Source organism: Homo sapiens, chromosome 17, assembly GCF_000001405.40.
Source record: "Homo sapiens chromosome 17, GRCh38.p14 Primary Assembly".
Lineage (NCBI taxonomy): Eukaryota > Metazoa > Chordata > Mammalia > Primates > Hominidae > Homo > Homo sapiens.
Genome location: NC_000017.11, coordinates 50,176,047 through 50,201,993, shown reverse-complemented (window position 1 = coordinate 50,201,993; position 25,947 = coordinate 50,176,047). Strand labels below are relative to the sequence as shown.

The 25,947-nt window shown below is 57.4% G+C and overlaps 1 protein-coding gene across 4 annotated transcripts, besides 9 other annotated features; it reads left to right on the top strand.

Moving 5' to 3' along the window:
* On the top strand, positions 363-17,893 carry COL1A1 (collagen type I alpha 1 chain). 4 transcript variants are annotated; one of them, NM_000088.4, is made up of 51 exons: positions 363-583; positions 2,047-2,241; positions 2,404-2,438; positions 2,541-2,576; positions 2,667-2,768; positions 3,490-3,561; positions 3,789-3,833; positions 3,992-4,045; positions 4,209-4,262; positions 4,761-4,814; positions 4,931-4,984; positions 5,324-5,377; positions 5,466-5,510; positions 5,627-5,680; positions 5,795-5,839; positions 6,018-6,071; positions 6,329-6,427; positions 6,516-6,560; positions 6,664-6,762; positions 6,894-6,947; positions 7,166-7,273; positions 7,368-7,421; positions 7,547-7,645; positions 7,811-7,864; positions 7,953-8,051; positions 8,947-9,000; positions 9,144-9,197; positions 9,301-9,354; positions 9,466-9,519; positions 9,970-10,014; positions 10,108-10,206; positions 10,504-10,611; positions 11,070-11,177; positions 11,398-11,451; positions 11,614-11,667; positions 11,886-11,993; positions 12,082-12,135; positions 12,262-12,315; positions 12,456-12,617; positions 12,719-12,826; positions 12,984-13,091; positions 13,199-13,252; positions 13,357-13,464; positions 13,845-13,898; positions 14,011-14,118; positions 14,457-14,510; positions 14,872-14,979; positions 15,072-15,354; positions 15,487-15,677; positions 15,974-16,216; positions 16,346-17,893. In NM_000088.4, exons 1-51 carry the CDS (start codon positions 481-483, stop codon positions 16,490-16,492), a joined length of 4,395 nt encoding a protein of 1,464 aa, NP_000079.2. In that variant the 5' UTR covers positions 363-480; the 3' UTR covers positions 16,493-17,893. The 4 variants fall into 4 exon arrangements, with proteins under 4 accessions (NP_000079.2, XP_005257115.2, XP_011522643.1 ...); XM_005257058.5 differs by lacking the exons at positions 12,456-12,617; positions 12,719-12,826; XM_011524341.2 differs by lacking the exons at positions 5,795-5,839; positions 6,018-6,071; positions 6,329-6,427.
* Positions 1,099-1,148: a silencer, noted in NCBI's record as "silent region_8691". NCBI's record gives its function as "represses an Ori minimal core promoter by ATAC-STARR-seq in GM12878 lymphoblastoid cells {active_cell/tissue: GM12878}" and the evidence as "EXISTENCE:reporter gene assay evidence [ECO:0000049][PMID:35858748]".
* Positions 1,649-1,698: a silencer, noted in NCBI's record as "silent region_8690". NCBI's record gives its function as "represses an Ori minimal core promoter by ATAC-STARR-seq in GM12878 lymphoblastoid cells {active_cell/tissue: GM12878}" and the evidence as "EXISTENCE:reporter gene assay evidence [ECO:0000049][PMID:35858748]".
* Positions 1,719-1,768: a silencer, noted in NCBI's record as "silent region_8689". NCBI's record gives its function as "represses an Ori minimal core promoter by ATAC-STARR-seq in GM12878 lymphoblastoid cells {active_cell/tissue: GM12878}" and the evidence as "EXISTENCE:reporter gene assay evidence [ECO:0000049][PMID:35858748]".
* Positions 4,454-5,653: an enhancer, noted in NCBI's record as "CDK7 strongly-dependent group 2 enhancer chr17:48273702-48274901 (GRCh37/hg19 assembly coordinates)". NCBI's record gives its function as "activates an origin of replication core promoter dependent on BRD2, BRD4, P300/CBP, MED14 and CDK7 cofactors, with strong dependence on CDK7, by STARR-seq in HCT116 cells {active_cell/tissue: HCT116}" and the evidence as "EXISTENCE:reporter gene assay evidence [ECO:0000049][PMID:35650434]".
* Positions 12,179-12,732: an enhancer, noted in NCBI's record as "H3K4me1 hESC enhancer chr17:48266623-48267176 (GRCh37/hg19 assembly coordinates)". NCBI's record gives its function as "activates a minimal SCP1, AML or CMV promoter by ChIP-STARR-seq in primed H9 embryonic stem cells {active_cell/tissue: H9 hESC(primed)}" and the evidence as "EXISTENCE:reporter gene assay evidence [ECO:0000049][PMID:30033119]".
* Positions 12,733-13,288: an enhancer, noted in NCBI's record as "H3K4me1 hESC enhancer chr17:48266067-48266622 (GRCh37/hg19 assembly coordinates)". NCBI's record gives its function as "activates a minimal SCP1, AML or CMV promoter by ChIP-STARR-seq in primed H9 embryonic stem cells {active_cell/tissue: H9 hESC(primed)}" and the evidence as "EXISTENCE:reporter gene assay evidence [ECO:0000049][PMID:30033119]".
* Positions 16,611-17,601: an enhancer, noted in NCBI's record as "H3K4me1 hESC enhancer chr17:48261754-48262744 (GRCh37/hg19 assembly coordinates)". NCBI's record gives its function as "activates a minimal SCP1, AML or CMV promoter by ChIP-STARR-seq in naive H9 embryonic stem cells {active_cell/tissue: H9 hESC(naive)}" and the evidence as "EXISTENCE:reporter gene assay evidence [ECO:0000049][PMID:30033119]".
* Positions 19,177-20,072: an enhancer, noted in NCBI's record as "H3K4me1 hESC enhancer chr17:48259283-48260178 (GRCh37/hg19 assembly coordinates)". NCBI's record gives its function as "activates a minimal SCP1, AML or CMV promoter by ChIP-STARR-seq in naive H9 embryonic stem cells {active_cell/tissue: H9 hESC(naive)}" and the evidence as "EXISTENCE:reporter gene assay evidence [ECO:0000049][PMID:30033119]".
* Positions 20,532-20,826: an enhancer, noted in NCBI's record as "tiled region #10059; HepG2 Activating DNase matched - State 4:PromP". NCBI's record gives its function as "activates a minimal TATA promoter and a strong SV40 promoter by Sharpr-MPRA in HepG2 cells {active_cell/tissue: HepG2}" and the evidence as "EXISTENCE:reporter gene assay evidence [ECO:0000049][PMID:27701403]".

Below are 25,947 nucleotides of genomic sequence, written 5' to 3'. Positions count from 1 at the left end.
CAGCTCCCCAGTTCCCCAGTTCCACTTCTTCTAGATTGGAGGTCCCAGGAAGAGAGCAGAGGGGCACCCCTACCCACTGGTTAGCCCACGCCATTCTGAGGACCCAGCTGCACCCCTACCACAGCACCTCTGGCCCAGGCTGGGCTGGGGGGCTGGGGAGGCAGAGCTGCGAAGAGGGGAGATGTGGGGTGGACTCCCTTCCCTCCTCCTCCCCCTCTCCATTCCAACTCCCAAATTGGGGGCCGGGCCAGGCAGCTCTGATTGGCTGGGGCACGGGCGGCCGGCTCCCCCTCTCCGAGGGGCAGGGTTCCTCCCTGCTCTCCATCAGGACAGTATAAAAGGGGCCCGGGCCAGTCGTCGGAGCAGACGGGAGTTTCTCCTCGGGGTCGGAGCAGGAGGCACGCGGAGTGTGAGGCCACGCATGAGCGGACGCTAACCCCCTCCCCAGCCACAAAGAGTCTACATGTCTAGGGTCTAGACATGTTCAGCTTTGTGGACCTCCGGCTCCTGCTCCTCTTAGCGGCCACCGCCCTCCTGACGCACGGCCAAGAGGAAGGCCAAGTCGAGGGCCAAGACGAAGACAGTAAGTCCCAAACTTTTGGGAGTGCAAGGATACTCTATATCGCGCCTTGCGCTTGGTCCCGGGGGCCGCGGCTTAAAACGAGACGTGGATGATCCGGAGACTCGGGAATGGAAGGGAGATGATGAGGGCTCTTCCTCGGCGCCCTGAGACAGGAGGGAGCTCACCCTGGGGCGAGGTTGGGGTTGAACGCGCCCCGGGAGCGGGAGGTGAGGGTGGAGCGCGGCGTGAGTTGGTGCAAGAGAGAATCCCGAGCGCGCAACCGGGGAAGTGGGGATCTGGGTGCAGAGTGAGGAAAGCACGTCGAAGATGGGATGGGGGCGCCGAGCGGGGCATTTGAAGCCCAAGATGTAGAAGCAATCAGGAAGGCCGTGGGATGATTCATAAGGAAAGATTGCCCTCTCTGCGGGCTAGAGTGTTGCTGGGGCCGTGGGGGTGCTGGGCAGCCGCGGAGGGGGTGCGGAGCGTGGGCGGGTGGAGGATGAGAAACTTTGGCGCGGACTCGGCGGGGCGGGGTCCTTGCGCCCCCTGCTGACCGATGCTGAGCACTGCGTCTCCCGGTCCAACGCTTACTGGGGCAGGAGCCGGAGCGGGAAGACCCGGGTTATTGCTGGGTGCGGACCCCCACCTCTAGATCTGGAAAGTAAAGCCAGGGATGGGGCAGCCCAAGCCTCTTAAAGAGGTAGTCGGGCCGGTGAGGTCGGCCCCGCCCCGGCCCCATTGCTTAGCGTTGCCCGACACCTAGTGGCCGTCTGGGGAGCCGCTAGCGCGGTGGGAGTGGTTAGCTAACTTCTGGACTATTTGCGGACTTTTTGGTTCTTTGGCTAAAAGTGACCTGGAGGCATTGGCTGGCTTTGGGGGACTGGGGATGGCCCCGAGAGCGGGCTTTTAAGATGTCTAGGTGCTGGAGGTTAGGGTGTCTCCTAATTTTGAGGTACATTTCAAGTCTTGGGGGGGCCTCCCTTCCAATCAGCCGCTCCCATTCTCCTAGCCCCGCCCCCGCCACCCCACCTGCCCAGGGAATGGGGGCGGGATGAGGGCTGGACCTCCCTTCTCTCCTCCCTCGCCCTCCTCCTGTCTCTACCACGCAAGCCACTCCCCACGAGCCTGCCCTCCCGATGGGGCCCCTCCTATTCTCCCCCCGCCCTCCCCCTCTCACCCTGTGGTTTTTATTTCACTTGGCTTCAGCGCCAATGGGCTGAGGTTGGAGTTGGAAGCCACCGCGGACTAAAGCTTTGTTTAAATTCCTGAGAACTGGAAAGAGTTACAGCCTCCCTGGCCAGGCGCCTCGGCGCTGTCACCCGCGCTGATGAGGAGCAGGCGAGCTTTTAAGGATTTGAGGAAAGAAGAACGGGGGGAGGGGCGGGAAGTGAAAAATCCAAGTGTGCCTCTTAGACCCGGGGGAAAGGTGGTTAAGCTGGGGGTTGCAGTCACTACTGACAACGCCCCTCTTCCGCCTGTCCCAGTCCCACCAATCACCTGCGTACAGAACGGCCTCAGGTACCATGACCGAGACGTGTGGAAACCCGAGCCCTGCCGGATCTGCGTCTGCGACAACGGCAAGGTGTTGTGCGATGACGTGATCTGTGACGAGACCAAGAACTGCCCCGGCGCCGAAGTCCCCGAGGGCGAGTGCTGTCCCGTCTGCCCCGACGGCTCAGGTGCGGCTGCGCTCGGGGCCTGGGGCCTGGGGCCTGGGGCCTGGGGCCTGGGGCTGGGGCTGGGGGTGGTCGGCGCTCGCTGGCCCTCCGTGCTGGAGGCCTCTGCCGACGGGAGCAGCATTAGCAAACCTTGGCTCTAACGCGCGTCTCTTCGTCCCCTAGAGTCACCCACCGACCAAGAAACCACCGGCGTCGAGGTAATCTCCTGCCCTCGAATTTTGCCCCTGCGCGGCCCGTGACTCCTCACAGTCCTCCCTTCTCTAACCTGGCCTCTTGTTTCTTCTCCCCCAATCCCACAGGGACCCAAGGGAGACACTGGCCCCCGAGGCCCAAGGGTAAGCGTTGCACTCTGGGCTGTGGGGGGCTGCAGGTGGGCATGGCTCTCGGCCCCACGCTCACCCCGGCCCCGCCCTCTCCCCCTGCAGGGACCCGCAGGCCCCCCTGGCCGAGATGGCATCCCTGGACAGCCTGGACTTCCCGGACCCCCCGGACCCCCCGGACCTCCCGGACCCCCTGGCCTCGGAGGAGTAAGTGGAGAGGCCTTGTGTGTCCACTCTCCCCTGTTTTGTTTTTGTTTTTTGGCAGATGACATAATTTTATACTTTGAAATAATTTCAAACTTACAGAAAAGTTGCAAGAATCCTACAGGAAACTCTCACATACCCTTCACAGTTTGTGACATGTGCTTTATTAGTCTCTGTTTATGTATATGTATCTTTTTTTTTCTGAACTGTTTGAGCAAGTTGCTAACATCAGGCTCTTTTGCGCCTAAATACTTAGGTGTGTTTTTCCTAAAAACAAGAGCATTCTCTTAACTGACCTACACAATGATTAAATTCACTCTCTAATGTGCAGTCCGTATTCAAAGTTCACCGATGTCCCGATAATGTCCTTTATAGATTCCACCCCCCACCACCCCAATCTGGGATCCAGTCCAGGATTATGTATTGCGTTTAATCATCATGTCTCTAGTTTCCACAAATGTAGAACGTTCCTCAGACTTTCTTTGTCTTTAGTGGCACTGGGAGTTTTGATGAGTCCAGTTGTTTTGCAGACTGTCCCTCAATTTGGGATTGTCTCATTAGATTAGATGCAGGGATGCATCTTTGCAGGAATGTCTTAAAAGCAATGTTATTCTTCTCAGCACATCACACCAGGAAGTGCATGATGTCAGTTTCTTCCATCCTCAGTGCCGTCTTCTGCCTTTCAATTCACTGTCCTCACTCTGACTTCTCTTGTTTGTTCTAGAACTTTGCTCCCCAGCTGTCTTATGGCTATGATGAGAAATCAACCGGAGGAATTTCCGTGCCTGGCCCCATGGTGAGCCAGCAGGGGGAGCATGGATGACAGAAGAGAGAATGGGTATCCAGAGGAGGTGGGCATAGGCGGCTGGTATAGACAGCTTGGGAGGTCCAGATCACCTTTGGGACCTCAGAGTCCAGAAAGGATGCAGGACGACTGGGTGGTCCCAACAGGCATGAATGACTACATCCACATGCTTTCCTACAGAGGGATCACCATGACCCCCCTTTCTTCTCCCTCTATAGGGTCCCTCTGGTCCTCGTGGTCTCCCTGGCCCCCCTGGTGCACCTGTGAGTATCCAGGACGTCTTCATATGCCTCCTTGGGCTTTGGTCTTTTGGAGGGAAGACTGGGATGAGGGCAGGAGAGATGCTCAGAGATCTCTTGGTAAGATTGGAGAAGGTTGACAGGGACTTGTCTTCTAACCCATCTTTTTCCTTCTTCTCAAGGGTCCCCAAGGCTTCCAAGGTCCCCCTGGTGAGCCTGGCGAGCCTGGAGCTTCAGTAAGCACTCTCTATACAGATTCATACTCCTTCTACAAACACACAGACTCTCCTATAGAAGAACTCCCAGGCCTGGGGTCTTCCTTACCTCTTCCCTTCAATCCCAGCCTTCCCCTTCTTTTTTTCTTATCCATATTCTAACCACCTCTTCTATCTTTTCTAGGGTCCCATGGGTCCCCGAGGTCCCCCAGGTCCCCCTGGAAAGAATGGAGATGATGTAAGTATCCCCAGCAAGAAGATACCATCTGACCCCATGGCCTCCATGGGTTGGGTCCTGCAATTTCCACTCCACCACATTTGGGAACGATACTCAGAGGAAGGAGGGCAAGTCCTCTCTGATGCACGGACTGCCCTGGAACAATGATCTTTTCGCTTAGTGAGATGATTCCATGTCCCCAACAAAGTGACTGTTCTCCTCACCCCAGCCACCTTAGAGCAATCCCCAACCCCATCCCTTTGGGGAAATTGGTGCGCAGATGGTGAAATTAAAATGCTGGTGACAGAAGTAGACAGAAATTCCTTTAGAGGCACTCAGATTTCACCAAACGAAGGTTTCACTGTAGATTTAAACTGAGCTCTAGATTCAAAGATAAGATTCTGGGCCCCCAAACCTGACCTGCAACAATCCAAAGAAGACTGAGACCTTCTCCACTTTTCCAGCCCCTAGGCGGTGGTGGGGAGGCAGAGGCATGATGGTCTTTTCTCTCCCTCTCAGGGGGAAGCTGGAAAACCTGGTCGTCCTGGTGAGCGTGGGCCTCCTGGGCCTCAGGTGAGCAGGGGGCTGTGGCTGAACCTGGGCTTCACTGCACTTGGGCTTCATTTAGGAGCTGGGTCCACAGTGATGTGTTCTAATGGCCCTTCCTTGTCTTCTTCATCTCTCTCCAGGGTGCTCGAGGATTGCCCGGAACAGCTGGCCTCCCTGGAATGAAGGGACACAGAGTGAGTCACCTTTGAGTCATTTAAGCTCCCCAAGTCCCTAGCATACCCCCATCCAGTCCCAACCTCTTCCCCAAAAGATACTGAGTTGCATCATGGTGGGTGGCAGCTACAGAAGTCCCAAGGGACAGAGAGTGGACATCCAAAAGCACCTCCCTCCATGGGAAAGCAGTCCCGATTAAACGATTGGGTGAGATCTAGAGCCAGTTGGGGTTTAGTCTAGCTCAGAAACAAAGGGATGGCGGTGATGACCTCCCAAGGCTCTTTCTCAGATCTAGGTGGATGTCAAGGCTGTTCCACCCCCTCCACAGGTTCTTACCTTCTACCTCTTTCCTGCTTTAGGGTTTCAGTGGTTTGGATGGTGCCAAGGGAGATGCTGGTCCTGCTGGTCCTAAGGTAAGAGGCTGTCTGAACATCATGGTCCTCCACATCCCCAGAGTCCCACCATGAATGAATTTCTCACTCATTATTCTCTGATCTACAGGGTGAGCCTGGCAGCCCTGGTGAAAATGGAGCTCCTGGTCAGATGGTGAGTGTGCCCAGTTCCAGAGGGCAGGGATGGGGCAGGAGGCAGGGGCAAGATGGAGGCCTGGGGGAACAAGGCTGTCTCCCATCTCATCTGACTTCTCTTGGTTTGGTTGTCAGGGCCCCCGTGGCCTGCCTGGTGAGAGAGGTCGCCCTGGAGCCCCTGGCCCTGCTGTAAGTACTCCTGGCCCCTTGGGGGATCCCTGAGCTCTGGAAGGGGCTCCCCAGGAACTCTAGGGACTGGCCAGTGCTCAGTGGACTTAACGGGGCTTCCCCTCTCTCCTGCAGGGTGCTCGTGGAAATGATGGTGCTACTGGTGCTGCCGGGCCCCCTGTGAGTGTGGCCTGTAGGCCTCAGGGCCTGGGAGTGGGGAGGGGTCTCAGTATCTGCTCTTGGGGCTGACAATGGGAGCAGGTTATGTTGGTCTGAACCCCAGGACTTCCTCTGTCCCAGGGTGTGACTTGCAGCTGCCATCTCTTCCTTCTCGCTGACATCTCCATTTCATTCACAGGGTCCCACCGGCCCCGCTGGTCCTCCTGGCTTCCCTGGTGCTGTTGGTGCTAAGGTGAGACCCCCCACTCTCCTCTAAGCATGACCCTCATGGGCCAAGGGGTTCATGTCTCCCTGTTCCCCAAACCAAAGGGACCCAGAGTGGCAAGAGAGCAGCCCGTTCACTAACACCTTTGTCCTGGGTTCTCCGTCTCTGATCTTAGAGTCCTGATCATTGCTCTCCTGTCCCTGTCTCCCCTTCCTCCTGCCATCCCGAGAGGCAAGGTTGGGTTTCCCAGGGTGGCTTCTGATATGTCCTTTCTTCTGATTCAGGGTGAAGCTGGTCCCCAAGGGCCCCGAGGCTCTGAAGGTCCCCAGGGTGTGCGTGGTGAGCCTGGCCCCCCTGGCCCTGCTGGTGCTGCTGGCCCTGCTGTAAGTGTCCCCGACTCAGTGTCCCCTTTGCCACTTTCTAACCTCAGAGTCCTTGCCTGTTGCTGACACTCCTTTCTCTGTGCCACAGGGAAACCCTGGTGCTGATGGACAGCCTGGTGCTAAAGGTGCCAATGTAAGTATCCTGCCAGGCTTCAGTCCCACTCCTGCCGCCTGCAGCCTGCCTGCCCCTTTCCCTCTGCTCCTAGGCTCACGCCCTGGCTGTCTGCCTCCCACAGGGTGCTCCTGGTATTGCTGGTGCTCCTGGCTTCCCTGGTGCCCGAGGCCCCTCTGGACCCCAGGGCCCCGGCGGCCCTCCTGGTCCCAAGGGTAACAGCGTGAGTACCAAACTCTCCCTTCTGCCCACCCCATGCACTGGCTCCAGTGCGGCTCTCATCTGGGGAGCAGGAAGACGCAGGCCAACTGAGCGCCCCCGACTCTCAGCTCATCCTCTTCTCCCCCCTTGCAGGGTGAACCTGGTGCTCCTGGCAGCAAAGGAGACACTGGTGCTAAGGGAGAGCCTGTAAGTCTCCCCGCCATCCTTCTTGCAGCCCAGCCCACCCTGCCCTAGGAGCCCCCTGAGGGAAATCCAGAAAGGAAGAGGAGCCCCTAGTCTTCTGGGGGAGTCCCTGCCACACCCCCAGGAACCCCTGACACTGGAGGCCCAGCCTCAGCCGGCTCTGAGGCTGGCACAGGATGGCCCCTCACCACAGGCCGCCTCCTCCTCTCGGCCCTCTCCAGGGCCCTGTTGGTGTTCAAGGACCCCCTGGCCCTGCTGGAGAGGAAGGAAAGCGAGGAGCTCGAGGTGAACCCGGACCCACTGGCCTGCCCGGACCCCCTGGCGAGCGTGTAAGTGTCCCTGCCCGCCCCCTCCCGCTCCACCCTCATTGCCTGGCTGGTGCCTGTGTGTCGCGGAGTTCACTGGCCTCCTCTCCTCCTGCAGGGTGGACCTGGTAGCCGTGGTTTCCCTGGCGCAGATGGTGTTGCTGGTCCCAAGGTAACCTCTCCTTGCGGCCGGGGGGCTGACCCTGCCGCTCCCTGGGCATCTTCTTCCTCTTTTGGCCCGTGGCAAAGAGCCACAAACTTGAGACCCTAACTGTTCCTGTGACTTCCCCCAACCAGGGTCCCGCTGGTGAACGTGGTTCTCCTGGCCCTGCTGGCCCCAAAGGATCTCCTGGTGAAGCTGGTCGTCCCGGTGAAGCTGGTCTGCCTGGTGCCAAGGTGAGGCCCCAGGCTTTCAGCCTGGCTTGGCCAGGCCCTGACCATCCCGTGTAGGGTCTGGGATGAGGCGTTCTGGATCAGGCCCAAGGGTCTGCCCTCTGGAGTCCTCCCCCACCTCCATCATGCTTCTCCCCAAGTCCCACTCATACCTCTCTGCCTCCCTAGGGTCTGACTGGAAGCCCTGGCAGCCCTGGTCCTGATGGCAAAACTGGCCCCCCTGTAAGTATCACTCCCCCTGAACCCCCTGCCATTGTCCTGTCTGCCTCCCTGCTGTCCTCACTGCTGCTTTCGTGCCTCCCATCCTTAGGGTCCCGCCGGTCAAGATGGTCGCCCCGGACCCCCAGGCCCACCTGGTGCCCGTGGTCAGGCTGGTGTGATGGGATTCCCTGGACCTAAAGGTGCTGCTGTGAGTATTAAGTGAGGATCCATGAAGAGCCAGGGACAAACACACCTGAGACTTGAAGGAGTCCTGGGCTCTGGGCTCAGCTGTGCCGCTGACCTGCCGTGTGGCCACTCACTCTCACTTTCTGGACCTCAGCCTCCCTATCTGTAAAATGAAAGACTTCTCGGCGGGGCACGGTGGCTCATGCCTGTAATCCCAGCACTTTGGGAGGCCAAGGCGGGCAGACCATGAGGTCAGGAGTTTGAGACCAGTCGGGCCAACATAGTGAAACCACGTCTCTACTAAAAATACAAAAGATTAGCTGGGTGTGGTGGTGTGCACCTGTAACCCCAGCTAGTCAGGAGGCTGAGGCAGGAGAATTGCATGAACCCGGGAGGTGGAGGTTGCAGTGAGCTGAGATCACGCCATTGCACTCCAGCCTGGGCAACAGTGCGAGATTCCATCTCAAAAAAAAAAAAAAAGAAGAAAGAAAGAAAGAAAAAATGAAACACTTCTCCAGGCTCCATGACCACTGCTCTGTCCTGGAAATAAGTGTTGTTGGTGGCCCTCCACCCCGACACGTGGGGATAGGACAGGCCTTTGATATGATAGGCACCCCCAGTCTTGGTGGATTCTTTGAGGTCCAAAAGGAGATAGCAGAGAAGATGAAAGCCCTTTGCAGTGCAGGCCACAGCGGGCATCTAACAGGGAAAAGGCAGAGGAGCCTGGAAGGGCATCTTGGGAGGAGTGGGCTCAGAAAGGGCCCAGCAAGAAGCACCTGCAGGGGCATTCCCCGGGGGCCAAACAGTCTTTTGAAAAGAAAGTCCCTTAAAAAGTCCCACTCAGAGTAAATGAGAGGCCCCAGGAGGCCCTGGCTTCTCACTTCAGCCCCCTCAACCCTAACTCCCTTTCTCCACAGGGAGAGCCCGGCAAGGCTGGAGAGCGAGGTGTTCCCGGACCCCCTGGCGCTGTCGTAAGTATCTCCTTTCCATCCCTACCTCCTTCCCATTGCTGCCCCGGCACTTTCTCCTCCCTGCAGGAGGGGTGCTAGAGGCCACGGTCCTCAGCTGCTCGGGGCCTCCTAACCCTGAGTTCCCCTTTGCTCTCTCCCTGCAGGGTCCTGCTGGCAAAGATGGAGAGGCTGGAGCTCAGGGACCCCCTGGCCCTGCTGTGAGTGTCCCTGATGGGGAGATCTGGGGAGCAGAAAAGGGGAGACACCCTCAGCCCCTCGTCTCCTCGGCCTCCCCGTGACTGTAGTGTTCTCTCTGTGCAGGGTCCCGCTGGCGAGAGAGGTGAACAAGGCCCTGCTGGCTCCCCCGGATTCCAGGTGAGGCCTCATGGCTGTCAGGATGCTGGGAGGTAGGGGTAGGAAACACCTCTTTGGTCTCTTCCAGATTCTAAACCTTCCCTCCCTTCTTCCCCCATTTCCCACCTACAGGGTCTCCCTGGTCCTGCTGGTCCTCCAGGTGAAGCAGGCAAACCTGGTGAACAGGTAAGAGGGAGCAGCCGGCCAGAGGGGTGGGAGATGCAGGGAATCCAGAGGGACAGGCCCCCGCTCCTAGCTAATCAGACAGCCATCAACTAGAGGGATTGAGGTTAGACGCCGGAAAGAACTTCCTCCCATGAAGGGAGCAGCACAGAGGGAAGTGGGGGCTGCATGATTGCTAGTCTGGGTGACTTCTTTTAAGAGCTGCTGGAATATGCTGTGACTTTCCCTCAACCCTTCTATTGATAAATCTTGGTCCATAGTTTGGGGAGGGGGGAAGCCTTTGACACATCCCTAGGAGGAAGAGAGGGGCTGTTTGGGATAATCTCAATTCAGTGCTGAGAAGGGGTTCCTCTCTAATCACGGCCAGACCCCAGGAGGAAGGACCGTGCTTTCCAGCAGAGTGGCCCCAGGTGGGTTTTGCTCACTGTCTGTTCCTCTCTCCCTCCCCCTCAGGGTGTTCCTGGAGACCTTGGCGCCCCTGGCCCCTCTGGAGCAAGAGTAAGTAGGCCTCTCTCGCTGCATCCGTCAAGGTGCGTCGTACTTGGCCCTATCTCCAGAGCAGCCTTCACATGCCCTGTCCTTCCCTTCTAGGGCGAGAGAGGTTTCCCTGGCGAGCGTGGTGTGCAAGGTCCCCCTGGTCCTGCTGGTCCCCGAGGGGCCAACGGTGCTCCCGGCAACGATGGTGCTAAGGTGAGGGCAGCGTGGAAGGGGCTCTGGCAAGTGGCCCAGGGACCAGGTCTCACCCCTCCTGCAGCAGGGGATGGCGGGCCATGACCAAAGCCATGGAGATAGGGTGTGGGGTGGGGGGAAAAGACCAGGGCAGGGGCCCACACACAGCCTGGAGTCTGGGCTGTGAGTCTTTTCATCTTTTCTCAAGGCTTGTCGTTGGCCTTGGAAACAAGCCTGGGAGATACCAAGCGGGGCTTAGGGCTGTGACCCACTCTTGGGGCCCCAGGCCTCACTCCAGTCTTCTTGGTTGTCACATAGGGTGATGCTGGTGCCCCTGGAGCTCCCGGTAGCCAGGGCGCCCCTGGCCTTCAGGGAATGCCTGGTGAACGTGGTGCAGCTGGTCTTCCAGGGCCTAAGGGTGACAGAGTAAGTTCAACCTTCCCCCTCCCCTGAGCCCTACATGGCTCCCATCTCTGCCTGCTTTGAATCTCTCAGCATCTCTCCTTCTCTCTGGGATCTGTCCCTCTTCTCGCTAATCCTCCCTTCTTCCCCTTTCCCCTCTGGCCTTTTTGCTGATGAATCCTCTCCCTGTGGTCCAGGCCCATCTATCCCCATGGGTTACCATGGTGATGAGAGGTGGGGGCATCTCCTTGGTGGAGGCTCCCTTATTCATCCCGCTACACAAGTCAGGGGCCTCTTAACCTCAGTTCCACCTGAGTCTCCAGGCAGGCACCCTTTTTCCTGAAAGAATCTTTGAGTCCTTGGCCCAGGTGGAGGCAGGGCAGAGCTGCAGAGGGCCTCTCAGGAAACCCAGACACAAGCAGAACACTATAGGTCACCTCCTTGCCCCACACTGGAAATCTCAAGCTTATCCATGTCTTTAGGGTGATGCTGGTCCCAAAGGTGCTGATGGCTCTCCTGGCAAAGATGGCGTCCGTGGTCTGACTGGCCCCATTGGTCCTCCTGGCCCTGCTGGTGCCCCTGGTGACAAGGTGAGGTGGCCGCCTCCCCACCTTCTGCCCTAACACATAGCCTCCTCAGCAGGCCTGGGCACGGTTCCGTGGGGTTGCGTTGGGAGAGCAGGTCCTGCCAAACTGAGCTGTCAACCTGGGAACCTGGAGGGACCAGAAGGAGGGGAGGCTCTCCTGGGGTCATCTACTAGGAGTATTCAGGGGAGGCCCTGACCCTGAGCCTCTTGTCCCTTGCTCTCAGGGTGAAAGTGGTCCCAGCGGCCCTGCTGGTCCCACTGGAGCTCGTGGTGCCCCCGTAAGTACAGAAGACCTGTTAAGACCCCATACTTGGCCCTTCCCTCCCTTCACACAGCACCCCTGGCCCTGTCTGTGCCTTCACCCCTTGCCTCTCCCCTCACCGCATCCCCGCCTTCCCTCCTGTCAGCGCATCTCTCCAATCTGACTCCTTTTCTTCTAGGGAGACCGTGGTGAGCCTGGTCCCCCCGGCCCTGCTGGCTTTGCTGGCCCCCCTGTGAGTACCAAGACCCCCATCATTTTTCATCACCGACTGGGACCTGGGACCTCGAGGGACGGAATGAGGACAAAGGCGTCAGCCATCCTCAGGGGAGAAGGGTGGAGACGGGATTGTTTCCCACCCAAGCATCTTCCTGCCTCCATTACTGCTCCTCCCCCAGGTAGTGGAAACTCCTGCCTCCTTCCCTCCATTCACCGCCCTGCTTCCTCCCCCAGGGTGCTGACGGCCAACCTGGTGCTAAAGGCGAACCTGGTGATGCTGGTGCTAAAGGCGATGCTGGTCCCCCTGGCCCTGCCGGACCCGCTGGACCCCCTGGCCCCATTGTGAGTGGCTTGGCCCTCTGTGCCCACGAGGCTGGTGGGCTGGGACCCAGGACGGGTCCAGGCTTGATGCCTCTGTGCTCTCCTACAGGGTAATGTTGGTGCTCCTGGAGCCAAAGGTGCTCGCGGCAGCGCTGGTCCCCCTGTGAGTATCACCCGCCTCTCTGTTGAGCCTCTCCCCTCTCCCCAGGCAGCGGTGGCAGGTGAGGGCAGCTGGGTCGGATGAGTTGGCTGTTCTCCCTCTGACTGTTCCTATGTTCTCTCCTTCCAGGGTGCTACTGGTTTCCCTGGTGCTGCTGGCCGAGTCGGTCCTCCTGGCCCCTCTGTAAGTCTCTGCAGCAGAGTCCACTGCTCTAGGTTGGGGGTGCTGGGTGGGGGCTGCCAGAAGGATGGTGGGGCTGACTGAGGACCCAATGATGCACCAGAGCCCCCTGGAGTCTGACAGCCCCTCCTATCCTCATCCAGGGAAATGCTGGACCCCCTGGCCCTCCTGGTCCTGCTGGCAAAGAAGGCGGCAAAGGTCCCCGTGGTGAGACTGGCCCTGCTGGACGTCCTGGTGAAGTTGGTCCCCCTGGTCCCCCTGGCCCTGCTGGCGAGAAAGGATCCCCTGGTGCTGATGGTCCTGCTGTAAGTGCCAGCTCAGATCTCTGCAGCTCCGGAGGTGTGCAGAGCTGGGGAGGGGTCCCTGTGCTGCTCTCTGGCACCTCACCCCTGTTTGCCTCCCAAAGGGTGCTCCTGGTACTCCCGGGCCTCAAGGTATTGCTGGACAGCGTGGTGTGGTCGGCCTGCCTGGTCAGAGAGGAGAGAGAGGCTTCCCTGGTCTTCCTGGCCCCTCTGTAAGTGCCCCCCTCACCTTGGGGGGCCCTGAGAAAAACCATCACAGGACTTGGAGTGGGGCGGAGCCAAGGAGAACAGATTTGGTAGAGATGACTCCAGCGGACTCAAGGGTCCTCCCAGACCCTATCTCTGGCCTGACTCTTTCTTCTCCCTTAGGGTGAACCTGGCAAACAAGGTCCCTCTGGAGCAAGTGGTGAACGTGGTCCCCCTGGTCCCATGGGCCCCCCTGGATTGGCTGGACCCCCTGGTGAATCTGGACGTGAGGTGAGCAGTCCCCAGCCCCCATGCCAGTACCCTCAGCATGGCCATTGTGGCCTTGCCTAAGCCCTCTTCCCCGGCTGACTCTCACTTCTCTCTCTCTCTCTCTGCAGGGGGCTCCTGGTGCCGAAGGTTCCCCTGGACGAGACGGTTCTCCTGGCGCCAAGGTAAGATGGCAACACTCCATGACCACAGCCTTGTCTGCTGCTTCCCTGCCCCATCCTGGCCCTTCACCCGGGGCTGACCCATATTCCCCTGCTCTCCCCGCCAGGGTGACCGTGGTGAGACCGGCCCCGCTGGACCCCCTGGTGCTCCTGGTGCTCCTGGTGCCCCTGGCCCCGTTGGCCCTGCTGGCAAGAGTGGTGATCGTGGTGAGACTGTAAGTAGCTGGGCTCCAGTTCCCTGTACCTGGTCAGGCCAGGGACTCTTCAGGCCTCCTTAGAGGCCTGGGGATGGGTGTCGGACTTCACCCAGGCAGGGGGAGGAAAGGAGATCCTGCAAGATGTCAGGGCCTTAATCCAAAAAACTGAGTTAAAGCTCAGCCCCAAGTCCCCTCTCCCAGACAGGACCGCCTCTCCCATGAGTTGGCCCCAGCTCCCGTGAAGATTGCAGTGGGGAGGTTTCCCTGGGAGTTGGGAGAGATGGCCACAGTGGGAAGCAGCTGAGGAGAGAGAGATCCAGCAGAGGGGAGGCCTCATCCTGCAGCCCCAGCCTCAGCCTTCCCTGGCCAAGAGCTCATGCTTTCCTTGCTCTCCCCAGGGTCCTGCTGGTCCCGCCGGTCCTGTCGGCCCTGTTGGCGCCCGTGGCCCCGCCGTAAGTACCCTGCTGTGTCCCCCATGCCTTTAGAACTCTACAGATGCAGACAGTGCCCCACTCGATGCCAATGGAACTTCCGCCTGACAGTTTGTCCCTTTCTCTCTTCTAGGGACCCCAAGGCCCCCGTGGTGACAAGGGTGAGACAGGCGAACAGGGCGACAGAGGCATAAAGGGTCACCGTGGCTTCTCTGGCCTCCAGGGTCCCCCTGGCCCTCCTGTAAGTATGCTCAGCCCCTCCCCAGTCCCCATGCTGTGCTGTGGGATAGGAGGGGGAGCTTCGCCTCAGTTTCCCCCTCTGGATAGTCATTCTTTCCCCTCCCTAGTGGGGACTGGGGTCTGAAGATTTGTGGGCATGTCCAAGTAGCTTCTGAGAGGGTGAGGGGTACACAGAGAGGGATTATGGGAGAGGTCTCTGCCTATGGACACCCTCGGGCTAGATTTCCAGAATAATGAAGGGGCATGGGTTGCCCACACTGCCCTTGTCTCTCCAGCCAGGCCCTCAGGCTACATTTGACGCTCACTGGGCCTGAACTGCCTTTTTTATCTGTCCTTCAGGGCTCTCCTGGTGAACAAGGTCCCTCTGGAGCCTCTGGTCCTGCTGGTCCCCGAGTAAGTCATGCCTTCTCTCTCCTCTTCCTGAGCCCCAAGCCCAGGCTCACCTCGGGGACCCTTGCCAGGGACCCAGGCACCCTTTGCCTCTCTGGAGAAGGGTTCAGGGACAGGGAGTGGGCAAAGAGAGGAAGAATCCTGAACAAACAATCTGATCTAGCTTTGGCCTCTCTGCTCCCCAATCCGTCCTCCCCTGGCTCAGCGGCTGGGAGGAGCTATGGCATGTCCTATGGAAAGAGGCTGAGGCTGGCTCTATGAGCCGTGGGGCCAGAGCCAGCAGGGAGGGTGGTGGGCCTCTCCTCCAGAGCTGGGGTTGTTCGGGCTTCTGGCAGCCTTTCTCAAACCATTTCCCCCACTCCAGGGTCCCCCTGGCTCTGCTGGTGCTCCTGGCAAAGATGGACTCAACGGTCTCCCTGGCCCCATTGGGCCCCCTGGTCCTCGCGGTCGCACTGGTGATGCTGGTCCTGTTGTATGTAGCCCCTCATCCCCTCTGCTCATGGCCCTCCAGCCCCCAAAGCACTTGGATGCCGGTAATCCCCACTCTCTTCCCTCTCTGTGCAGGGTCCCCCCGGCCCTCCTGGACCTCCTGGTCCCCCTGGTCCTCCCAGCGCTGGTTTCGACTTCAGCTTCCTGCCCCAGCCACCTCAAGAGAAGGCTCACGATGGTGGCCGCTACTACCGGGCTGATGATGCCAATGTGGTTCGTGACCGTGACCTCGAGGTGGACACCACCCTCAAGAGCCTGAGCCAGCAGATCGAGAACATCCGGAGCCCAGAGGGCAGCCGCAAGAACCCCGCCCGCACCTGCCGTGACCTCAAGATGTGCCACTCTGACTGGAAGAGTGGTGAGGGCCTGCCCTAGCCTCTCCCTCCCTCCTACTCCTGCCATGCCAGGGTCCCCATGCCCATATGTGCCCCTACCATATGGTGCTGGCTGCTCCCTTTCCCTGACTCCATCTTGCCCTGCCCTACCACAGGAGAGTACTGGATTGACCCCAACCAAGGCTGCAACCTGGATGCCATCAAAGTCTTCTGCAACATGGAGACTGGTGAGACCTGCGTGTACCCCACTCAGCCCAGTGTGGCCCAGAAGAACTGGTACATCAGCAAGAACCCCAAGGACAAGAGGCATGTCTGGTTCGGCGAGAGCATGACCGATGGATTCCAGGTGCGTGAGCTGGACCTCAGAGCCAGTGTTAGGAGATGGGCTAGCCCAGTGCTCAGAAGGGACATGAAGTCCTGGAGTAGGTCTCTGCTAAGGGTGATGGACAGAGCTGGGCTGGGAGGCAGGGGTCTCAGGTCCCTGATAGTGGTTCAGACACAGGCTGCCGATGGGCAGGTGGTGCCTCCTCTCGATATAACGGTGCATTGGGCAGCTCTCTGAGGACCCTGGACAGGGAGGCCAGGCAGGACTAGAGGTTCCCGCATAGCGGCTCACTCTTCCCTCTCTCCCCTCCCCTGCAGTTCGAGTATGGCGGCCAGGGCTCCGACCCTGCCGATGTGGCCATCCAGCTGACCTTCCTGCGCCTGATGTCCACCGAGGCCTCCCAGAACATCACCTACCACTGCAAGAACAGCGTGGCCTACATGGACCAGCAGACTGGCAACCTCAAGAAGGCCCTGCTCCTCCAGGGCTCCAACGAGATCGAGATCCGCGCCGAGGGCAACAGCCGCTTCACCTACAGCGTCACTGTCGATGGCTGCACGGTGAGTGCCCAGAATCCCCAGGCAGGGCCCCACCTCTCCGGCCTTGGGCTTTTTGGCCAGGCCATAGTGCCCTCTCTCCATCACTCCCACGTGGTAATGCCCCCTCCCGTTGTCTCCGCCCCACCCCAGAGTCACACCGGAGCCTGGGGCAAGACAGTGATTGAATACAAAACCACCAAGACCTCCCGCCTGCCCATCATCGATGTGGCCCCCTTGGACGTTGGTGCCCCAGACCAGGAATTCGGCTTCGACGTTGGCCCTGTCTGCTTCCTGTAAACTCCCTCCATCCCAACCTGGCTCCCTCCCACCCAACCAACTTTCCCCCCAACCCGGAAACAGACAAGCAACCCAAACTGAACCCCCTCAAAAGCCAAAAAATGGGAGACAATTTCACATGGACTTTGGAAAATATTTTTTTCCTTTGCATTCATCTCTCAAACTTAGTTTTTATCTTTGACCAACCGAACATGACCAAAAACCAAAAGTGCATTCAACCTTACCAAAAAAAAAAAAAAAAAAAGAATAAATAAATAACTTTTTAAAAAAGGAAGCTTGGTCCACTTGCTTGAAGACCCATGCGGGGGTAAGTCCCTTTCTGCCCGTTGGGCTTATGAAACCCCAATGCTGCCCTTTCTGCTCCTTTCTCCACACCCCCCTTGGGGCCTCCCCTCCACTCCTTCCCAAATCTGTCTCCCCAGAAGACACAGGAAACAATGTATTGTCTGCCCAGCAATCAAAGGCAATGCTCAAACACCCAAGTGGCCCCCACCCTCAGCCCGCTCCTGCCCGCCCAGCACCCCCAGGCCCTGGGGGACCTGGGGTTCTCAGACTGCCAAAGAAGCCTTGCCATCTGGCGCTCCCATGGCTCTTGCAACATCTCCCCTTCGTTTTTGAGGGGGTCATGCCGGGGGAGCCACCAGCCCCTCACTGGGTTCGGAGGAGAGTCAGGAAGGGCCACGACAAAGCAGAAACATCGGATTTGGGGAACGCGTGTCAATCCCTTGTGCCGCAGGGCTGGGCGGGAGAGACTGTTCTGTTCCTTGTGTAACTGTGTTGCTGAAAGACTACCTCGTTCTTGTCTTGATGTGTCACCGGGGCAACTGCCTGGGGGCGGGGATGGGGGCAGGGTGGAAGCGGCTCCCCATTTTATACCAAAGGTGCTACATCTATGTGATGGGTGGGGTGGGGAGGGAATCACTGGTGCTATAGAAATTGAGATGCCCCCCCAGGCCAGCAAATGTTCCTTTTTGTTCAAAGTCTATTTTTATTCCTTGATATTTTTCTTTTTTTTTTTTTTTTTTTGTGGATGGGGACTTGTGAATTTTTCTAAAGGTGCTATTTAACATGGGAGGAGAGCGTGTGCGGCTCCAGCCCAGCCCGCTGCTCACTTTCCACCCTCTCTCCACCTGCCTCTGGCTTCTCAGGCCTCTGCTCTCCGACCTCTCTCCTCTGAAACCCTCCTCCACAGCTGCAGCCCATCCTCCCGGCTCCCTCCTAGTCTGTCCTGCGTCCTCTGTCCCCGGGTTTCAGAGACAACTTCCCAAAGCACAAAGCAGTTTTTCCCCCTAGGGGTGGGAGGAAGCAAAAGACTCTGTACCTATTTTGTATGTGTATAATAATTTGAGATGTTTTTAATTATTTTGATTGCTGGAATAAAGCATGTGGAAATGACCCAAACATAATCCGCAGTGGCCTCCTAATTTCCTTCTTTGGAGTTGGGGGAGGGGTAGACATGGGGAAGGGGCTTTGGGGTGATGGGCTTGCCTTCCATTCCTGCCCTTTCCCTCCCCACTATTCTCTTCTAGATCCCTCCATAACCCCACTCCCCTTTCTCTCACCCTTCTTATACCGCAAACCTTTCTACTTCCTCTTTCATTTTCTATTCTTGCAATTTCCTTGCACCTTTTCCAAATCCTCTTCTCCCCTGCAATACCATACAGGCAATCCACGTGCACAACACACACACACACTCTTCACATCTGGGGTTGTCCAAACCTCATACCCACTCCCCTTCAAGCCCATCCACTCTCCACCCCCTGGATGCCCTGCACTTGGTGGCGGTGGGATGCTCATGGATACTGGGAGGGTGAGGGGAGTGGAACCCGTGAGGAGGACCTGGGGGCCTCTCCTTGAACTGACATGAAGGGTCATCTGGCCTCTGCTCCCTTCTCACCCACGCTGACCTCCTGCCGAAGGAGCAACGCAACAGGAGAGGGGTCTGCTGAGCCTGGCGAGGGTCTGGGAGGGACCAGGAGGAAGGCGTGCTCCCTGCTCGCTGTCCTGGCCCTGGGGGAGTGAGGGAGACAGACACCTGGGAGAGCTGTGGGGAAGGCACTCGCACCGTGCTCTTGGGAAGGAAGGAGACCTGGCCCTGCTCACCACGGACTGGGTGCCTCGACCTCCTGAATCCCCAGAACACAACCCCCCTGGGCTGGGGTGGTCTGGGGAACCATCGTGCCCCCGCCTCCCGCCTACTCCTTTTTAAGCTTTTTCTTTCTTTCTTTCTTTTTTTTCTTAAATTCTTGCTTCCTCTTCCCCCCTCTTCTCCGTCCCTTCTCTTTCCCTTCACCTTCTGCCTGCTCCTTCCCAGAGGCCCTGAGAAGGCGAGGCCCGGAGGGAAGGTGACTGTTCGGCTCCCCCATCTCAGGTAAGGGGGACAGCGAGTGTGGTCAGCGGGGGACAGAGAATCCAGGGCGTCAGAAGTCCAGAGAGAACCAGGCACCCGGAGCCAGGGAGACAGCGAGACGACAGCTGGTCACCTCTCTCACCTCATCTCAGGTCTAAACCCAAAAAGAACAAAAAGCCCGCACTCCTCCCTAAGGTCTCCAGAGAGATGGACAAGTCTGTAGATACCATCCATCAGCAATACTAATATCGTGATGTCATTAAGTATTCATGGCCGTTCATTATGGCCTTCAATAATTCATCATTAGCACTTCTACCACACTTAGGACAGTGTAGAAAGGGAATCAGTGTAGAGAGGATAAGAATGATGGCATATAAATGAAGGCTTATTCATATGCAAATTACCCAAAGTTGTGTGATGCCTATCCATCTCTCTTTCTCTCTTTTTTTTGAGACAGAGTCTCACTCTGTCACCCAGGCTGGAGTGCGGTGGCGCAGTCTCAGCTCACTGCAACCTCCGCCTCCCAGGTTCAAGCAATTCTCATGCCTCAGCCTCCCAAGTAACTGGGATGACAGCCATGCACTACCACGCCCAGCTAATTTTTATATTTTTAGTAGAGTCAGGGTTTTACCATGTTAGCCAGCCTGGTCTCGAACTCCTGGCCTCAAGTGATCCACCTGCCTCAGCCTCTCAAAGTGCTGGGATTGCGGACATGAGCCACAGCACCAGGCTCCATCTCTTGATCAATGTGTTGATTGCTTGGTGATGCCTGCCATGCTGCCCAGGAAACCCTGTCCACTTGGACCTCTGGGACTTTAGGACCCTGGCTGTCCAGGCCACATCCCCATCTGCCCTCGTGGGGGACCCAGGGACATCCTGAGCCTGGCATCCAAGGCTCTACCTGGCCACTACCCACCTGCCCAGGCTCACTGTCCCCTCCCCTGCCCACATCTGTCACACCAACCAAAAAGGGTGGCCAACAGTTCTCACAAATGCACTGCATTTCCCCACTTCCAGGCCTTCTAGATGTCCTTTCTCTCTGCATGCTCAACACCCTACTGTCCGGGCCATGCTCAAATGTCTCATTCTCTTCCCATTCCCTTGCCCAACCCAGCCTGAGCTCAGCCCCTCTGAGTTTCCAAAGCTCTCCAGATCCACATAGCTCCCCTCGGTCCTTCATCCTAGGATTGTGGATGTGGTCATGTTTCCATCCTGTTATTCTCTCCAGACTAGAGGCCAGGTGTTGCAATGCAGGGCTAGGCAGAGTCTGTGCTTAGGTACTGGGGAGACTAAAGAGAGAGAGACTGAGCTAGAGAGGCCACCCATTAGGTGAGAGCATGGCGCTGTGTGTGCTTGGTGCACAGGAGTGAGCGAGTGTGAGAGGAAGAGCAAGTGGAAGGCCCATGGGGGAGCAGACAGCAACGGAGGGCGCAGGGCAGGGCTTTCTGCAGCAACAGACATGTCCTAGAGCTGCACCGCCCAGTGCGGTAGCCGCTAACCACATGCAGCTGTTGAGCATGTGAGATGCAGTTAGTGTGACTGAGGAATGCAGTTTCCACTTTTACTGAATTGCAATTAGTTTTACTAACTATATGTGGGATAAGGGTTACCATACGGGGCAGCAGAGCTGTAGGCAAAGGAGTGAATATGCCTCTTGTCACCTCTGTACAAATCTACATGTGGGTACGTGGGTGTGTGTGCACACGCGTGGGCATGTATGTGGACACACGCACTGTGGGTCAGGGCTGCAGCGGGGGCAGCCTTGTGTGGCAGTGCCCCATGGGCAGCTCTGAGCCTGCATCACGTGGTGTGGGGCCGGTGTGTGGTTTCAGTGTGTACAGGACAGGAGGGGAGGGGGACAAAGGGGCCATTGTGCCACATTCCCAACTCAAACCCTCCTTTCCGCTGACATCACAGCCGCCCTAAATACAGCCACCCAGACCCGCTCCCCGAGACCCTCACTATCTCCTGCAGGGTGTCACAGAGCCTGCCGCTCTGTCAGACTCACCTTTGTCTTCTCTGTGAGAAGGACCAGGCTCCTGATTTTTGGCTGATTTTTCAGTCAAGCCCAGATGGAAAATTCTAGAAAGGGAGGAGGCTTCATTTGGATTTTTAATTTCTGCTGCAATCTCAGAATCCTGGGTCCCTTTTGGGACCTAAGCCCCATCTCCTGGCAGGATTTTCTATCACCGGAATACAGTAGATTTTCCCTCCTTTTTTTTTTTTTTCCCCAGCACCTTAACTCTCAGCTTCCCAGACTTTCTCCAATGACAGAGCTGGGTGGGTGGAGGAGGAGAGGGGTTGCAAGAAAGCTTGCCGGCTGGGGTGAGGAGACTGTGTGTGGAGCAGGCGTGAGCGTGGGCCGCGTGGGAAAGAATGCGAGGCTGCCGTCAAGCCCAGCGTCCACACGAGGAGGCCTGCGATGGCGTCTGAGGGAGCAAGGTGAGTGCCACCAAGGGGTCTCTGTCTCCTGGGGGTGCCTGGTGATGAGAATGTGTCTCACTGTCTGTGCCCACCTACCTGTGCACAAATAAATGTATCTGTGTTCACAGGGGCCTATACACATGTATGTGTGTGGGTTGGGGTGGGCGGGCATCTGTGCATGATGAGGGCAGCTTCCCCACACGTATGGCAGTGAAAGCAACCCTGTGTGAACTGTGAGAACACATGGACTGTGGCATTTGGGACATATGTGTACATGGGCATGACAGAGGGCATAGGAGGGTCTGTCTGTGTGATATGGATGAATGGGGCGGGGGAGCAGAGAGGAGTGTGGGAAAAATTAGTGGGGGCTCGGTGTGGGAGGAGACCACTCTCCTGAAGTCCCCCAGCCAGTGGGAGCCCTGGTGCTGGGAAGGCTGAGTCTCCCTGTCCCCTTCCCCTGTGTGCGCTCCAGAGGGTATCAAGTCAGGCCGAGGGCATGTCCACAGTCAGGGAGGCAAGATCCTGGAAGCAGGAGGGGTCTTGTCCAGGAGGGTGGCAGGCCCTCCCCATGCAGAGATTTCAACCCTTTGCAGAGGATGTGCAAGGCAAGGCCAGGAGGGAGGTGAGTTTGGCACATGCTAATGCTGGAGAAAGTGGGATTTTCTCTGCAAAAGACAGTGGGAGGAACTGGGAAGGGGGTACTGAATGAGAAGGGACAGAGAACCATGATGGGGACTAAAACATTTTAGAGAGGGAGGCCACATACACGTGCAAGTTCTGGATGAATTCACTGCTGTGGGGCAAACTCTGCCCGCAGGCCAGGGCTTCGCTGCTGAGTTCACGGAGGCCTAGGAGAGCAGGTGTTCTGTAGAAAGCAGGGAAAGGGGCTGAGTTCTGGGTGTGAGTTAATCTGGGATGGAGATACAGGAAGAGCCATGAAACCAGCACAGCCCAATAAAGATACAACCCAAGGTGCGGATGTAATTTTTTATGATCTAGCAGCCATTTAAAAAAAGATAAAAAGGGCTGGGGGCGGTGGCTCACGCCTCTAATCCCAGCACTTTGGGAGGCCGAGGCGGGCGTATTGCCTGAGGTCAGGAGTTTGTGACCAGTCTGGCCAACATGGTGAAATCCTGTCTCTACTAAAAATACAAAAAAAAAATTAGCTGGGCCTGGTGGTGTGCGCCTGTAGTCCCAGCTACTCGGGAGGCTGAGGCAGGGAAATTGCTTGAACCAGGGAGGTGGAGGTTGCAGTGAGCCAGGATAGCGCCACTGCACTCCAGCCTGGGCAATGGAGCAAGACTCCATCTGAAAAAAAAAAAAAAAAAAGATAAAAAGGCTGGTGCTGTAGTGCATGTCCTAGCTACTCGGGAGGCTGATGCAGGAGGATCCCTTGAGGCCAGGAGTTTGAGACCAGCCTGGGCAACACAGTGAGACCCTATCTCTACAAAAAAAATTGCAAAAATTAGCCAGATGTGGTGGTGAGTGCCTGTAATCCTAGCTACTTGGTGGCTGAGGCAGGAAGATCACTTGAGTTTGAGGTAACAGTAAGCTATGGTCATGCCACTGCACTCCAGCCTGGGCAACATAATGAGACCTCATCTCAAAAGAATAAATAAGTATCTACAGGTAAAACTAATTTTAGCAATGTCTTTTATTTAACCTAATGTATCCCCAAATCCGATCGTTTCACCATTACACTGAGGTACATCTCAGTTTGGACTAGCCACATCTTAAGTGCTCAGTAGCCACATGGCCTGAGGCTGCTGTACTGGATGGTGCAGCTCTAGGCAGCAGTTCCGTACCAAAGATCATACAAATTTAGGCTTCCACTCCCAATTCACAGGGAGAGATTGAACTTTTTACAAGGTGCAGGTGGAAATGGAGTTCATTTAGCCTGAATCTTAGGGGCCAGGGAGACCCCAGGGACCTCTGGCCTTGTGGGATTGTGTGTGCTTGCATGCAATAATGTGTCCATCCTTGGGAGCTGCCAGAGTGTCCAGTTCCCACAAATTCTCACAACAGCCCCAAGGCGGTTATGATGATCATCTTATGAGTAAACTAACCCTCAGCTGGCTGAGCCAGCTGTTGTGTGGCAGGATCATGATTCCAGTCCTGCTCCGGGGCAGCGTGCAGCAGGGGGCTGAGGCCGGCCCTAGGTGGCGACTTGAGTCACCAGGTCTGGCTGATAGAGAGGTGGTGAGGGAATGTCTGAGCGTCAGGCCACGTGTGGGTGCTGTGTTTAGAAGGAAGGTGGAGGCCACCCACTGGGTAACAGGGGCAATGCCATCATGGGACTGGAGGAGACAGGGGTGGAGCAGAGTGTGCAGCTGGGCCAAGTCTCCCGGTGGAGGTGGCGGTGGGGGCGGCTGCCCTTCTTTGTCCTGGGCTGTGGGGGGTGGAGCTTGACTGCTGGCTGGAATCTTGCACGCCAGGGAGGGGCTGTTGCCCAGTGGGGAGGCGCTAAGTATGTCTGTGCCCTCCCGGCATGCTGCCGGGGGCCTCTGGACGTGTGTGCCCAGGCAGGGCTCAGCGTCTTCTGCAGGCACGCCATCCTCCCAGCTACTTGTCTGGGCCGCTTCCTCTCAGGCCGGCAGCCAGGCTCCCGTGTGCTCTTTGGAGCTGAGCAGAGAGAAAGGCGCTGCCAAGACCCCAAGGCAAAGCCGGGAAGTGAGGAGCTGGCCTTGCACTCTCCCAGCCCTGGCCAGCACAGGAAGAGCACAGGAGGCCCAAGAGCTGCCTGGCTGCAGGGGGCGAGCCCAGAGATGAGGGGTGGGCAGCCTCCTCCTCAAGGGAGCAGGGATCAAGGAGCCACCCCAGGCAGCAGGCTGGCTGCTGGAGCCTCCGGTCTGCGCAACTCCTGGTTTCCTTCAGGAGAAAGAAAGAAATAGCCAAGGAGAAGCCAGAGGCACCCGCTAGTCAAAGAACCCGTTTGGTTATGGCGTGGGCACCTAAAGAGCTAGTCATTCAACAGGCAATTATTAAGCACGTACACTACACCTCAGCCTGCCTCAGCAGATGCTCACGAAACCAGTGTTTGATGAGTTGATTGACTAACTAATGGGTACAGGGAGGCTCAGGAGATAATGGAAGAAGCTTTAGCCATGGCCTTGCTCAACCCCTGTGCCCTGAGAAGGGGAGCAACCTCCTTAAGAACACTGAGCACAGGAACGGTAGCTCACAGCGGTCATCCCAGCTACTCAGGAGGCTGAGGCAAGAGGACCACTTGAGGCCAGGAGTTCGGGACCAGCGTGGGCAATGTAGTGAGACCCTGGCTCTAAAAGAAAGAACGCTGAGCAAACCCAGACACATGGTATCCCTTCATGCCTTCCTTCAGAACATCCTTCCTGAGCACTCACTGTGTGCAGGCACTGCACCTGCTGCAGGCTGAAAGAATCGTATGTTCTAGTGCGGAAGAGGACTCGGAATATGTGAGCCGAGACAGCGCGAATCCTCTCAGAGAGCAGGAAGGCCTCGCAGGGCAGGCAGTGGGACCGCAGTGGGACCACAGCGGGGACAGGGAAGGCCTCTCTGAGGAGGTGCCCTTTGGGCAAAGACAGAACCTGCAGTGAGGGGCTAGTTGTGTGGATGTGGGAGCCAGGGCCTCCCAGCAGAGGAAAAGGAGAAGGAGGCTGGAGTGGTGATGCCAGCCCTTGTCTGTGTTCTCTCGGAGTTGCCACTAGGGGAGGGCCTTGCCAGCTATCCCTCTTTTAGCCGGGCCCCTCTCGGGCTGAGTCCCTGGCCTGTCCTCACGTGGGAGTGGGAGTATATGAGCCTGGACATGGCCAGATGGCAGTGATCGGGGCAGAATCGGCCCCATTTGGTTGTGTCCACCTGGGAAAAACAAGCTCAGGCCTTCTCATGGCCAGCTGAGCTCTTCTGAGCTCGTGTGGGGTCAAGCTGTGCTAGCACCACTCAGTCCAACAAGGGTCCCAGGCTGTGCTGTGTCCTCTGCACCCCTGCCCATCTCTGGAGGAGCTCAGCAAGGCGGGGGGTAGTCCTTGAGCCTAGGGCATTCCGGGACCCGCATTCCAACCTCCCTCTTTCCATATCTTTTTTTTTTTTTTTTTTTTTTTGAGACAGAGTTTTGCTCTGTCACCCAGGCTGGAATGCAGTGGTGTGATCTCGGCTCACTGCAACTCCACCTCCTGGGTTCAAGTGATTCTCCTGCCTCAGCCTCCCGAGTAGCAGGGATTACAGGTACGTGCCACCATGCCTGGCTAATTTTTGTATTTTTAGTAGAGATGGGGTTTCACTATGTTGGCCAGGCTGGTCTCGAACTACTGACCTCAAGTGATCTGCCTGTTTTGGCCTCCCAAAGTGCTGGGATTACAGGTGTAAGCCACCACGCCCGGCCTCGCTCTCCATATCTAGATTGGCTTCTCTCCAAACACAACAGACAGAGGGACTCTCCTTCCAGGGAATCTTGAGGTGCCAAAGAAATCTACAGGTAAGGGTCTGGATTTCCTGCTTCCAGAACCCCTCAACCCTGTAGAAGGCAGGGTGGAGGCAGAAGTGCCAGGGTCAAATTCAAGCTTTGCCACTTGCTTGTTCTGTAGCCTTGGGTAAGTCACTGACTCTCCCTTGGTCTCTGTTTCCTTGTCTGTGAAATGGGGATAGTGATCCAGGCATACCTCACTACCAGGTTCGTGGGAGGGCTACAGATAGCAGGTCCTTCCCT